This window comes from Homo sapiens, chromosome 10 (genome assembly GCF_000001405.40).
Source record: "Homo sapiens chromosome 10, GRCh38.p14 Primary Assembly".
NCBI lineage: Eukaryota > Metazoa > Chordata > Mammalia > Primates > Hominidae > Homo > Homo sapiens.
The window spans coordinates 2,354,018-2,370,245 of NC_000010.11; positions in this window are offsets into that span (position 1 = coordinate 2,354,018).

The window sequence follows — 16,228 nt, forward strand, 5'->3', positions numbered from 1 at the left end:
ATGCCAATCCTTGAGATAAAATATTGGGACTATATATATATATATGTGTATATACATATATATATATATATATGTATGTGTATATACATATATATATATATATATGTATGTGTATATACATATATATATATATGTATGTGTATATACATATATATATATGTATGTGTATATACATATATATATATGTATGTGTATATACATATATATATATGTATGTGTATATACATATATATATATGTATGTGTATATACATATATATATGTATGTGTATATACATATATATATGTATGTGTATATACTTATATATATGTATGTGTATATACATATATATATGTATGTGTATATACATATATATATGTATGTGTATATACATATATATATGTATGTGTGTATATATATATAGATAGATAGTATGTGTATATATATGTGTGTGTGTGTATATATATATATATATACACACACACACACACATCCCTTTCTGAATAATTGCCATTTTTTTGCCTTGCATTAGTGTTTTTTTTTTGTTTTTTTGTTTTTTTGTTTTTTTTGAGACAGAGTCTCACTCTGTTGCCAGGCTGAAGTGCAGTGGCGTGATCTTGGTTCACTGCAACCTCTGTCCCCTGAGTTCAAGTGATTCTACCAGTTTTACCTCTGCTAACATATATTATTTCAAGAAATGTAATACAAGACAGTTTTGAATTTTCACAACCCATTGTCTAAAAGTTCATAATGATAGTAATATGCATACACCCCAGCACAGAGTGTCATCACATCATCAAACACAGACTAAACTGGCAGTGAAATTTACAAAGAAGATTTACACTAAGATTTTCTTTTAAAGAGGAAACGTAGCCTCATGTCACTTCAGGTCAAGTTTTGTGTGTAAAAATGTTTGAGCTTCAACTTATGAAAAGTGAAAATTTTGACTTTTAAAAGTATTTGGCGTTTGGAATTGCAGATAAGTAATTATTAACATGGATGAAATTACAAAATATAGACCAGAAAAGAAAGTCTCAGAAAGGTCTGCTTCACCATCTAAGCCCCCAGCTGAGAGCTTTCCAATGGAAAAGGTCAACTCTTTGGTCCATTCATTCTTCAAGTGCATCAGTCAAGGCAGCTCAAGCAATCTCTAAGACATGGTATCTGTGATATGGGTTCGAGTACTATGCTCTAACCTGAGTCCCTGCATGCATCTTACCTTGGGGAGAGGGTGAATGCAGAATTAATGACATTGGACATCAACTTTCCAATGTTAATTCCCCAGAGTCCACAGCCTAGTCAAAGGCAGAGCTGTGGAGCTCTCAGTCTACTCAAAGCCAGAATACATAGTGCTTCTTAAAACTGAAAATTGATGTCAACATGGAGTGCAATGTGGTTGAGGTGGGAATAACATCTAAGACTAAGAAATAATTTATCTTGGTAGGTTAGGAAAAAATATATACTCCAAAGACTAGTAGAATAGAGGACATGTTCTGTGTTGTTTCCAGCTCAGGGCAGAAAAGCACTAAGAAAAACTGAGATTATAAATCCCTAAAATTAGCCTCCCTTCCCTCCTTATCCAGCACATTCTGCCACTATGGAACCTTCCCCTCTGCCACCCCAAACCCTGCCTGTTCTCCAGAGCACAGGTGAAACCTCACCGCTGCATGACACCTTTCCTGACATTCACACCTCTCACCAAGCTCCGCCTTCTTCAAATATTTTAGAATTTGGAGGCTGTGTAACACTTATTGGAATTTAGCTTGCATTTTGATGTTCACCAACTTTTTATGTATAATTGTCATCTGGAGAAGACATTCCATGAGGGCATGTATATGTTTTATGTATTTTTATTTTATTCTTAAAATTGTCTAGCAGAACTGTGTAAAAACTACGACAGTTCTGCATAGGTTTTGGTGGATACATGAAAATGTTATGGAAAGTGCGATAAAATTTGATGAAAACTTGTAAAATTACATTATCAGAGGTTATCTAACCAAGAAGGCTTATCAATAAAATTGTGCTAAGTATGGGGGGTTTATATTTTGCAAAATTGCGTGGGACACTGACCTTTTGCCTCTGCTCACTTAGAGCCTCATCTCGAACACGGGCAATTCTTCCTCCTTCTCATCACCAGTGTTGTTTCTTTTCAATGCCATGGACGTTACTCTCCATACTCAGGAGCTAGGTGTGTTTCTAGAGCTAAGAGGGAGGGATGTAAGGGCACTCTTTACTGTGCCCCTACCTCCCGGGATACAAGAAGGCTCTTAGGAAGTTAACGTGGTGTAGAAGTGCAGACTTACGGATGTTTCCCCGGCCCTCTGGAAGCCCCACTTGGTCTTCCCGCTGCCTTCAAATCAACTCTGAAACAACTTCCCTGGAACCATGTGTTCCCATCCAGGCACTCCTGCTCTTTTAGGCGCACTGAGTCCTCGGAGTCCAACGTCACACCCTCCTCTCCCCAACCCCACGTCTCGGCAGACAGCAAGTCTTACCCATGATCTTCCTAGATTTCATCAGATCCCTCTGATGTCTAGTCATTCCCAACCTTGCCATCCCAGTTTCATCTCTTCAGTTCCTTCCTCTAAGATGCCCTGGCAGTGGGTGTTCTAAAATACCCTGAATACAATTTTAATTTTGTTTCTAACGAGCTATCTAATTATGACAGAAAACAAAAGCCAACATCATGCATATAGAACAAAAGTTTGTATCAGCCAGGCGTGGTGGCGGGTGACTGTAATCCCAGCTACTCAGGAGGCTGAAGCAGGAGAATCACAGAGGTTGAAGTGAGCTGAGATCTTGCCACTGTACTCCAGCCTGGGCGACAGCGTGAAATTCTGTCTCAAATAATAATAATAATAATAATAATAATAATAATAATATAATAATAATAAAAAAATAAGATAATAATCAAAAGGCCTGTAGAATCCATCCCACATCACCTTCTTCGCCATCTCCTATTGTTCCTGCCATGTTCCCTGCACTCAATCCAGTATCATCACTGATCCTTCACTGCGCACACAACACTTGATCATTTTTCTTTTCAGCTCCTTGTCTTCATTTATGCGAATTCATCATCAATTAGAGCAGCCTCACTCTTCTTCACTAAATTATTGGTAAAATCCCTCAAAATCCTTCTCAAGCACTGCCTCATCCAGGAAGCTGTTAAATCCCTACATTTGTTTAAACATGTTTCACTGAACTCCCTCAGAACAGGTGCTGTATCTCCTTTGCTTATTCCATTATATTGATATTCTCTTTTGTTCCTTACCTGTTCATATCCACCACTTGATTGGCAGATTCTCATATATCCTTTTATTCCTAGTGTCTAAAAAATCTTCCACTGCTAAAAGTTATATCTATTTTTTGTAGATCTTCATAGTTAGTAAAAGGCTCCACTTCCAGAGGCATGGAGATTACATTTGTTATCTTTGTCTATTATATGGCTCTGTATTGTAAACACTGCCCACCATTGAAAATGACGAGTGGTTGTGAAATCCCTTCCATGGCTTTGAAATGCTCCTGCACGGCTCTGGGAATCTGCCTTACAGGCAGAGCCCAGGTTAAGCAACACCAATCATTAGCTTCATTCTACAGCTAGAGAAACTGAGGCGCAGGTGTATATATATATATATATATATATATATATATATATATATATATATATATATTGTTTGTTTTGTTTTGTTTTGTTTTTTGTTTGCAGAGACAGGGGACAGGGTCTCCCCGTTTCCCAGGCTGGTCTCTCTAACTTCTGGGCTCAAGCCATCCTCCTGCCTCGGCCTCTCAAAGTGCTGGAATTACAGGAGTGAGTCTTGGCACCTGGCCTCAGATTTTTAAACACCGAGTAAAACAAAATGTAATATAAAAACCATGTGGCTGCTTACCATTGATCACAATCTGATATACTTTTGGCCCTGAGCTTTCATTTTTCATCTGCAAAGGTCCCTAATAAAATTGCAAGCCCAGGTGAATAATCTATTTCCTGCATATGGTTAGAACTCCATGACTCTGCGACTGGACTGTTGTGTGGATGAAAGTTGCCTGTGTGTGTTTTTCAGGACTCTGTGACTGGACTGTTGTGTGGACGAAAGTTGCCTGTGTGTGTTTTTCAGGGCTGCCGTAACAAAGCACCACAGAACAGGCAGCTTCAACAACGGAAATGTGTGTTCTCAGAAAGGCAGCTTCAACAATGGAAATTTGTGTTCTCATGGTTCTGCAGACTGGAAGTGTGACATCAAGGTGTGGGCAGGGCTGGTTCCTCCTGGGGCCTCTCTCCATGCCTTGTGGACCACATCTTCCCTCTGTGTCCTCACAGGATCGTACCTCTGTGTGCGTCTGTGTCTTCATCTCCTCTTCTAAGGACACCATTTATATTGGGTTAGAGCCCTTCTTAGTGACCCTATTTTTCCTTAATAATCACTGTCAAATACAATGACCTTCAGAGGGGCTGGGGGTTAGGATTTCAATGTACAAATGCAGGGACCACACCCCAGCCCCAGCTACGGCTCTGCGGCCAGCATTGCTGGACACTGGTTGACTGAATGCTGTTTAGAGAAAAGTCTTTGGGTTTAGAGAAGAGTCACTTGTAGTGTACCCCCAAAATACATGCCATTCCCTCCATCTACAATAAGCCCCAATCCTGAAGCCCAAGTCCTTTCACACTTTTCTAGCCTAGGCACTTTCTCCTGTGTCCTGTGCAAGAAGAACCTCTGGGGTACGTGGAGGTGGCACCCAGCACTGCCCTGCGTGGAGCTGCAGCGTGTCAGGGAGCAGCCCAGCTCTTGGGCACAGCGGTGCGAGGGCTGTTGGCCGGAACACAGTGCCAGACAGCTGTGATGGGAGGAGAGAACCACAAAGGCGGAGGTGAGAACTGAAAACTAAATTACAGGTGAGTGCCTCCAAAGCATGGTGTGCATGCAGTGAGTGTGCGTGCTGCACAGAACCCTGCACTTGTGTGTTCAAAATCCAAGCAATTCGTTCCATTCCTCTTTACTGCCATTAAGACCACTTGTGGTTGTATATTGAACTCAACACTGTTAGGGGCTGGAGTTGGAAGAGCTACTGTCATGGGTTGAATTGGTCCCTAAAAAAGACACATTGGAATCCTAACCCTCAGGACTTCAGAATGTGACCTCATTCTTTATAGAGCTAAGTGACAATGAGATTATTAGGTTGGGCCCTAATTCAATACAGCTGATGTACTCACGAAAATGGATATCTGGACACGGAGTCAGAGACAAAGGAAGAATGCACAGTGAAGATGGGTTATGGGAATGGTGTGTCTGCAAGCCAAGGAGCACCAAGGGCTGGGGGCAGAGAACAGGCAGCCAGCAGAGAGGGCTGGACAGAGCATCCCCACACGCTCAGAAGGAACCAAGCCTACTGGGACCTGCGTCTCCAACTCCTGGTCTCCAGGTGATGAGATGACCATTCTTGCTGTTTCAAGCCATCTACTTTGAGGCACTTTGCTAAGGCAGCCCCAATAAACCACACAGCCACATTCCTAGCTGGCATTCACCAGGCTAGACAGTCCACAGCTGTGACTTGTGTCACAGTGGAAAGCACAGTAGGCTCTATTTTTCAAACCAGGATTCTGGAATCTCAGCCGTCACACTCAGCCAGGAAAGGTCTGTGGGTCTCGAATGCTTCCACTGAGGAATGGGGATGATGTAACTGCACCCATACGAGATAATGAATGTGTTGACTTATTCAGCACTGTCACAGTTCTAAGAGCCCTTGATGAAATGAACAAATAACGACGTAAGGGGAAGGTGGTGTGATGGGGAATTGCCGATGGACGGTGGTCACAAGGCTGGCAGCCTGGGATGGATGTGCAATGCCCACGTTGCCACGGGGCCAGGCTGAAGTGCTCCACACCCCTGTCCACATTCACTCGCTTTCTGCTGTGTCTTCTGCAGGCCTCAGTGGCTGTGCTTCCCTCCCGTGGGATGCTCTGGGCTAGCCTCCCACCTCTGTTCTGGTCTAGCCTCCCACCTCTGTTCTGGTCTAGCCTCTGAACTGACCTGGTCTGTTTGGCTCTCTGAAACCCTGAAACTGACATTCAGATTCTTGTTTCACTATTTTCCATGCCAGAATAATACATGAATCTTTCACAAAATTCTGAAATCCAAAGTCTCTTTGAGGCTAAAAATGAATATCTGAAAGTTGATATTTAGTCCCCTGATCTCTTTAGACAAACTGAAAAGCTTGTTTTCCCTATGATATGGTTTAAGTCTGTGTCCCCACCCAAATCTCATGTTGAAATGTAATCCTCGGTGTTGGCGGTGGGGCCAGGTGGGAGGTTATTGGATCATGGGGGTATTTTCTTATTGTTGAATACCATTCCCCTTAGTGCTATCATCAAGGTAGTGAGTTCTCATGAGATCTGGTGTTTAAAAGTGTGTGGCACTCCCCCACTTCCTCCTGCTCTGGCCATGTAAAGTGCTGGCTCCCCCTACACCTTCCGCTATGGTTGTAAGTTTCCTGAGGCCTCTGCAGAAACTCAGCTGTTGCCAGCATCGTGCTTCCTGTACAGTCTGCAGAACCACGAACCAACTAAACCTCTTTTCCTTATAAATTACCCAGTCTCAGATATTTCTTTATAGCAGTGCAAGAACAGACTAATACCTCGCTGGACAATGAAGACGGAGCCTGGGCTTTTGTGTCTGTTTTCTGTGATTCTTAACACGTTGGTTAAAACAAAATAGGAAGCCTCCTGCAATGTCTTGGATGAATTAAGATAAATTTGTTGATGCTTGCCTAAAATAATGAAAGAGGGGGCCGGGGACCGTGCCTCATGTCTGTAATCCCAGCACTGTGGTAGGTGGAGGTGGGTGGACCACCTGAGCTCAGGAGTTTGAGACCACCCTAGGCAACATGGTGAAACCCCATCTCCACGAAAATACAAAAAATTAGCCAGGCATGGTAATGTGCACCTGTAGTCCCAGCTATTCGGGAGGCTGAGGTACAAGAATTGCTTGAGCCCAGGAGGCAGACGTTGCAGTGAGCCAAAATTGCGCCACTGCACTCCAACCTTGGCGACAGAGTGAGACTCTGTCTCAAACAAAATAAATAAATAAATAAACAAACAAAAAAGAAAGAGGGCATAATTAGAATGCAGAAAATCACAAACCTGAGGTTGCTGAAGGCACTTTAGGAGCCACAATCAAGATGAGGACCTTTATATGGTTGTGAACATCCTAAATTTAACGAAACAAATAAATTCAAAGAGTATTTGATCTTGCATCAGACTTCACAACACTCAGGGAATATCTTCAGCAAACTACAACAATGTGAACGTATAATAAATCACTACAGTCCTTAAAAACACAAATCTGAAACACTAGAATCCTAATTCAGAATGTATGACTTATATGTAATAATAAACTATGAAGGAAAAAATAATCATTTCCAGGAGCCAATTGTTTTGTGCAAAAGGAGAATAGCAAGTATCCCATTGTCTGGAAATGTTTTACAAGTATATTTTGATGGTTTAAATTTTTGTTATACAGTATCATCAAGATTCTGTCACATTTTAGTGTTATTGATTTGAAACAAAAGTGGATTTTGATATCATTTATTTTGGACTACACACTGTGTAATTATTCAAATGCTTCATTTTCATTTGAGCTTTCCTATTTGTTTTAAATGTTATTACTTGCTTCAGTGCATTTTCATTTTAGTGAACACACTGATAAATATTTCTATCAATTGCAGATGTGATTTTTGCATAAGTAACTAAAATGCTAGCACCGTGGTTTAATACAATATTAGACATCGCAGGATCCCATAGCAGCAATTAGAAAGTTTGCCTGCATGTGTGTAATCATAAAGGCCTTCTGGAAGGGTTTAAAGTGTGCTCATAATTGGTAATTTTAATGCTCCATGTCTTTCCCGAAAGCCTTAGACGCAAAGCCAGGGCTGATCCTAGGTAACATCATGAAGTTGACTACATTTGCTTTTCATTTTTCTCAGCCTTTCATCCCCACTTTGCAAGTTCAGTGGCCGCATCACTGACCCAAGTCTGGGTCGGGGTTTCCCAAATCAAGTCAGTCTTACAGACACATTCATTCTGTCATTCTTACCTTCTCTTCTCTCAGGACACTCTGAGTTTTCCTTTCTCTTGGCTCCTTGATATTTACTTGCCTTGTTTGCTTCTGTTGTAGGTTGACAAAATTCTCTTAACAGAATCTACAGCACCCTCAACTCACACCAAGTCGAGTGGTGAGTGGGCACATTGTAGCAATTAATCTGAGTTCCCAGGGTCTGTGCTGGGTTGTTGGCTGCTCCATTATCCTAATAATACCACTACTAATGCATTTGTTCACTAACACAGGTGATACTTTACTGTATTTTCACTAGTGAGGAAGAAAAGGAAGTACCCTTTGCCATGTAAAACAAAACAATCTTAATTTATCCAAGCAAGAGAGGGAGTGTGTTTACCTAGATTTCTTGCACAGGATCTGAATGAACCACATAAAGACTCTGCAAGTTACCAACAAAGCCGGTGCTCGCTGGGGCCAGGCGGCCCCTTCGCCGGGCACAGACCTTGCTGGGGGCTGAGACCACCCAGCCTCCATCAGGCTCCCGTGCGCTGCTTCCTGAATGGAGGCCACTGCCACTCCCACACCAAATAATAACCAATAAAGGGAGGAAATTAGCTTCTCTTATTTCTGACTCTCATTTATATGATAGAAATGTATAAATCAAAAATGGAAAGTTAAAGTACACACATTTATCCAATGAACTTTGATAATATTGCAAATAATAAAAAGGCAGGCTGGCACCCATGATTTGTTTTTAATTTTCAAATGTTCATAATTACATTTACATAATTACTCCTGGATAAGGTTACTATACTGAAAAGGTCATGAGAATTGATAATAGTTAAATATGTTCAAGATTATAGCCTGATGAGAATAAAATACGTCTAAGGATTAAATCACAAAACAGTCTACCAAAGTGTCATGCTTAACAAATGCCCTGCTCTGTTTACACAGAAAGGTCCAAATGCGGCGTTATCACATGCCCTTCTCTGCTAAAATCATGACATGGACATTATCCTTTCCATTTTACAGCTGAGAAAACTGAAGCTCATAAATATTAATTAACCTGCCTAAGATCACACAGTGGAGGGCTTTGGATCCAGGGATTCAAGCTGTGAAGAATGTGCTCAGAAACGCTGTAAAATACAGCCTCCCAGCTAAAATTGTTGAGGATCTTAGCCCTGAGGAAAATGGAAAAATAACATGTTATTCATTCCTCTTCAAGAAAAAAAATGAAATACCATTTAGCATAAATGCAGAAAAGTGCACAAATAAGCTATACAGCTGTCTGAGTGATTACAGAGTGCAAACACTATACAGATCAGTATGTAGTGTATCAGCTGTTTCCTGATGTTTTCCGTCAGTCATCTCCCAACCCATCTACAAAGTTAGCTAGAGATTAGTTTTGCCTGATGTTAAAATTAAACTGTGTATTTTTTTTTTTTTTTTTTTGAAACAGAGTCTCGCTGTGTCACCCAGGCTGGAGTGCAGAGGTGCAATCTCGGCTCACTGCAACCTCTGCCTCCTGGGCTCAAGTAATTCTCCTGCCTCAGCCTCCCGAGTAGCTGGGATTACGGGCACATGCCACCATGTCTGGCTCATTGTATTTTTAGTAGAGATGGGGTTTCATCATGTTGGCCGGGTTGGTCTCGAACTCCTGACCTCAAGGAATTCAGCTTTTCATTGCTAAGCATTAGTGTTGCTATAAATTTTTAAATACCCCATCACAGTACTTTAATTCCTGGTCGATTTTTGTCACAAGTTTATGTTTAACTTTCTCAAATGTTTTCTCTGCATTATTTGGGTGAAAAAAATGAATTGTCTTCTTCCTTTCACAAGTGTAGCAATTTCTTCGGGTTCAATTCACTGTTCTCTTCACAGCTTTTGAAAACAATACGGACATATCTGTTTATAAATAATGATTCTTTTCTAATGTACATATTTAAAAATTTAGTTTTCACAAAAACTCTGGGTTATATCAGTGTTATAATTTTGGTTAATTTCTATTGAGTTCAAAATAGACTATGATATTGTAATCTTTACACACTTATATATAGTAACTTACTCCTTCAGTCATGTTATTTAAAAATGTATTGCTTATTGTTGAAATAATTGTGAAATATTACATATCTGTAGTATCATTATATAGTTTGATTCTACTGTCTGTAGAAACTATTTCCTAGATAAATTTGTCACTTGATATTATTAGAGAGTTAATATGTTTCCTAGTCTGTGTTCGGATTTGGTAAACTCTTTTGTGTATTTGAGAAAATTATGTATTGTGGAGTTGTTAGGTGTAGCATTTTTATGCATCAATAAGATGTTAATTATGATCAGATATTTTACAATGATGCTGAATTTTGTCTCTGTTATATTAGTCACCTATCTCTCATCAGGATAGCAGATTAATTAGTCTATTGCCTACAAATTTCAATTACAATATTAAAATGATTTTTACTGGAGAAAAGAAGTTTTTGCTGGGAAATTAAAACTTTTGTCTTTGTTTTTCCTCTTGATCCCTCATATTGCCTATTTCCTTAAAGAATTATTTGTCTGATATCAGTGTAATTTTTTCTTTTTCTTTTTTTTTGGACGGAATGCACAGTGCAGGTTTTTTCATCCTGGTATTTTAATGTTTTTTTTTTTAATCCTTGTATAAGGCTATACCTCTTATAAGCAGTTGTACTTTGTGGATGTCCAATGTTCCAGCCTTTGCTGCCATTGTTAATAGTTATTTTACTTACCTCTCCTATTTGGCTATTTGATTTTACTTTGTTTTTTTTCTAATTGAATTGTCCTTGTTTTTTTTTTTTGAATTGATGGAGTTTTTTTTTTTTTTCGTAATTCTATTTTCTGCTCTTTTAGCTTGTTAATTATCTGTTCTTTTAGAAAATTGTCTAAAGGTATAAAGGTTAGTAAAAATAATTTATCTCTTCCTACATAATTCAAAATCTTCAAACATTTAATATCATCATCTGCTTCCAACTTCTGTGCAGTTTTGAATGTATTTTCATTCTGTATGTACTTTTGTTCCCACAAAGCATTATTTTAATGGCTCATGTAATCAATATTCATTTAGATTTGTCCACTCATTTTCTCCCTCTATCGATAATTATTATCTTCCTTCCACCTTGGATCGTTTTCTTCCTACCTGAAGACTATCCTCTAATGCATTTATTTATTTATTTATTTATTTATTTATTTATTTATTTATTTATTTTTGAGACGGAGTCTCACACTGTAGCACAGGCTGGAGTGTAGTGGCGCCATCTCAGCTCACTGCAACTCCGCCTCCCGGGTTCACACCATTCTCCTGCCTCAGCCTCCTGCATAGCTGGGACTAAGGCGCCCACCACCACACCCGGCTAATTTTTGTATTTTTTAGTAGAGACACCGTTTCACCATGTTGGCCAGGCTGGTCTCAAACTCCTGACCTCAGGTGATCCTCCAGCCTCGGCTTCCCAAACTGTTGGGATTAAAGGCATGAGCCACCGTGCCCTGCCATATGTTCTTTTGTCTTTTTTATAATAGCGATTCTAACTGGAGCAAGGTGGTGATTTCTGAAAACATGGACAAACCTGAAAGAAGTTCTCATGTCCTATCTCACAGTAGGGTGACTACAGTTAACAGTCAAACATTGTATATTGCAAAATAGCTGAAAGAGAAGCTTTTGAATGTTCTCACCAGGAAGAAATTATAAATGCATGAGGTGATGAATACACTAACCACAACTGATTGGATCATTATGCAACACAGATATTATCAAAACATCAAATTGTGTCCCATAAACATGTACAATTATAATTTGTCAATTTTAAAAATAAATATTGAAAATAAAAGAAAAACAATCTACGTAGAACTTCTCAAAGAGAGAAAGGCTCGGTGCTGTATAAAAATCTGTTAGGTGGAAACAGAAGGTCGCACATTGTAAAACCAATGTGAGTATCAATTTGAATATTTTTTGAGCAGACGTATTGCAATTGATAAAAACAGAGGCCTCATTTCGGTAAGTTTCACAGTAAATGCAAAAGGTAAGGAAGGAGATATAGAGAAAGTAGTTTACTGTTTAAAGAACAGTCTCTAAGAATATAAACATAAATAGCAAGTCTCTAAGAATATAAACATATAAGAAACAACTCAACTCTTACCCACATAAAACCAATTGTCTAACGCTACACTATCCAATACAAATATTGTGTGAGCTGCTTTTATACATTTGAAATTTTCTAATAGCCACATTAACATTTTAGTAATATATTTCATTTAACCCACTATTTCAAAAATGCTATGATTTCAGCAGGTAATCAATGTGAAATATTGCACTCAGTTTTCTTTATTATAAATCTTTAAAGTCTGGTGTGCATTTCCAATCATGCACATCCCAATTCAGACTAGCCATCCATCAAGTGCCCAGCAGTCCTAGGTGGTTAGGAAATGTGATATTGGGCCACACAGACATAATGAATTCTCAAAGTGGGGAAATGTATACTCAGTCAAAAACAAAGTGAGTCTATTAATAAATTCTGTTACAAAGGAGGAAAAAATCTTGATCCATTTTCTTATAGGCTAAATGGAAGAATTAATCTAGAAAAACTCTGGGGAGCAAGTTGACTATTTAGATGCTAGATAATGGCTAATTGCCTGTCATGTTTCAGAAAAAAGACACTGTCATTTGCAACCTCAGGAAAACTGATGTGTGAATTATTCAGGAACAAGCAATACCAATGGCATGTTATGTATTATTTCAGAATAGACTGAAAGCTGTCATTTATATACACTGAAGCTGTACTTCATAAGTGCTGTGTTTTCCACATTTAATAAGTGAGTATCAAGTCTTTGTTTTCTGATTGTTTACAGCAGATCATCTGAACTAATGGGAGTCTAATTTAAATTGTTGTGAATATTGTATACACCAATTACCCTGATCTGATCACTATACTTTATATGGATTGAAACATCGCTATGCACCCCACAGATAGGTTCAATTATTATTAGTCAATTTACAAATAAGAATTAAAAAGGAAACCTACAAAGATGTCTTTGAAATATGTCCAAGCATTTTGAAGTAGATCTAGGGAGTAAATGACATGGGTTGATTACTTTCAAATTTAAGTGTCAATGGCTTTGATACAACCCCAAACCCACTAAAGATTTTTATGAGCAGCAGAAGGAAAGTGTTGTGAGTAAGAAGCATGACAGGATGTGGGCGTCAGAAGGAGAAGCGGAGAGTCCGCAGTGTACGCACTCTTGTGAGCCTGGGGATGAGAATCGGGAGACAGTCAAAGTGTGGTCCACAGGAAATGCTCTCTCTGTTGGCTCTCTGTTGGGAGTCATCTGTTTTAAAAGACTGTGTCTTTGTAGCTTGGAAGATTTGTGAGTGTCCTCAGGAAATTGTTCTAATTTTCCTAAGGACTACTTAGAAATCCACATTGGAAATCATCGATGACATGAATCTAAGAATGTCAGGTTTGTCAGACTAAAACAGACAGCATTCATAGAACATATTTACGATTTAAAAAACTATTCACTGTGTATCTGAATCTAATTTAATTGAGTGTCTTATTTCTTTTTCTGGCAACCTATGTTAATCTTGTTTTTTAGAAACAATGAGCCACGAGTGTTTTTCCCCATCGTCTTCCCAATGTTAAAGACATTCATTGGGAAGGTGAAGTTTTCTGCCATGATAACTGGTCGAAAGTCTCTGTCTCTGTGGCCTTGAGCCAGGCCATGTGCAGGTGCTTCCCAGGCTCTGAGACAACCTTGCAGGCAGTGCAGCTGCAGCTGAACAGGTGCAGACCACGTCCTACCCTGGCTTCTGTTTTGAGAGAGCTCACCTGAGCATCCTGCTCACTTCTCCATCTTGGCTGGACCTGCCTGGAGAGTGAGCCCGGCTGTTCTGCTCCTCCATGACCTGTGTGTCTCCTGCTCCTGGCTGTGCTGCTCCTCTGTGGCCCACGTGGCTCCTGCTCACAGCTGTTCTGTTCCTCTGTGGCCCCTGCTCCCGGCCATTCTATTCATCCATGGCCTGTGTGTCTCCTGCTCCCAGCTGTTCTGTTCATCCGTGGCCTGTGTGTCTCCTGCTCAGGGCCTGTTTTTTTCCTCCGTGGCCCACATGGCTCCAGCTCCCAGGTGATCTCCTCCTCCGTGGCCTGTGTGGCTTCCACTCCCGGTTTCCAGGGTCTCTCTTGGCCACGTCACTGTGATATGGAGTCCTGGCCACAGCTTCCTTCATAATATGCTCCCCTCTCTGTAGCCCATGGAACTGTCATCCTATCTAGGAGGACTGCCATGAGCTGTGTTTTTATAAGACTGTGGGATACTTTTGAAAGATTTCAATCTCTGTGAAAACTCACCACTTTGTCTGGAATTGATGGCACCTCATCTTATTATGGGGGGAATGCTCTTCACAGGAAAGAACTCTTAAGACCCATCTGTTATCACCATTCAAATTCTTCCCTCTGGAGGATGTGCAAGCAGCGGGGTACCCAGCACCCTTTTGCATGTTGTCTGGCAATATTTTCTCATTTCCTTTACGTATTTTAATGTAATCAGAACAGCTCACATCTGCATAGCAATCAAATTACCAAGTCAACATCATCGAATGAAGTACTGAGGAGTCCGGTAATCAAATTCAGGTTAATATTAAACTTTCTGCACCTGGATTCCAAAAGGAGACAGAGAGAAAGAGAAAGACAGTGAGGAAGAAACTATTTCCACTAATATCAGATATTTATTATATTCTCTGACACTGGTGAAACTGCTTCTTTTCAGGCTTACATTAAATTGTTTAATCTGAAAATATACACTTCCTCTGTTGTTTGAACTGCGATTGTAGCTACACATGCATGAATCTTTTATATGTAGAATAACCTCAATATGAATATGTCATGCTCATCAACTAAAGTATATTTTATTTGTAAGTAAAGAATAAGTCACATCAAGGCACAGAAGGGAAAGTTAGAAATTCTTAATTTAATTCTCATTGTTCTACCTCACATTACTTAATTAAATAATAAAATTAATTAAAAATGTAATATATACATTGCACAAATATCGTTTAAGCCATCATTTGTAGCATGGAACAGAATAGAAACATATTAGAATGTTTATTGCGGCATTATTCACAATAGCAAAGACTTGGAACCAACCCAAATGTCCAACAATGATAGACTGGATTAAGAACATGTGGCACATATACACCATGGAACACTATGCAGCCATAAAAAATGATGAGTTCATGTCCTTTGTAGGGACATGGATGAAATTGGAAATCATCATTCTCAGTAAACTATCGCAAAAACAAAAAACCAAACACCGCATATTCTCACTCATAGGTGGGAATTGAACAATGAGAACACATGGACACAGGAAGGGGAACATCACACTCTGGGGACTGTTGTGGGGTGGGGGGAGGGGGGAGGGATAACATTGGGAAATATACCTAATGCTAGATGATGAGTTAGTGGGTGCAGCGCACCAGCATGGCACATGTATACATATGAAACTAACGTGCACATTGTGCCCATGTACCCTAAAACTTAAAGTATAATAATGAAAAAAGAAAAAGAATCTGCCAGGCACAGATCATGCCCGTAATCCCAGTATGTTGGGAGGTGAAGGTGGGTAGATTGCTTGAGCTCAGGAGTTCGAGACCAGCCTGGGCAACATGGTGAAAACTTGTCTCTACAAAAAAAAAAAAAGAAAGAAAGAAAGAAAGAAATTTAGAATCTACTTTATTTTTTCTAATTAAGGAATAGGTAGTCACTGAAGAATTTTGAATAGTGAATTAACATGTTTGAAACTGCCCTTATAAAAAGTTAATCTCAGTATTGTGAACATGATAGAAGAATCTGAGATAAGAAAATTAGTTAATAGTCTATTGAAGTGTGCCAAAAATAAAGACAAAATTTATCAAAATCAGCAGCATAAGAGAATGAAAGCATATGTTTGCAAAATTTCATAATAACATTTTAAAGGAAAAGGAAATATGTGAAAGAAAAAAAATGCAAGATTTTATGACCTTCCTCAATTCCAAATGGGGTCGGTTTACTCAAGAGTAATTACATTCATTTTCATCACTAAAATAATTTCAACCTTGGAAAGAATTTTGTTTTTTGCTTTAAGAAGAAAGTTATAAAAATCAGGAGATTTATGTGACAGTCTAGAAAAGGCAAAACTATAGAAATGGTAAACATATCAGT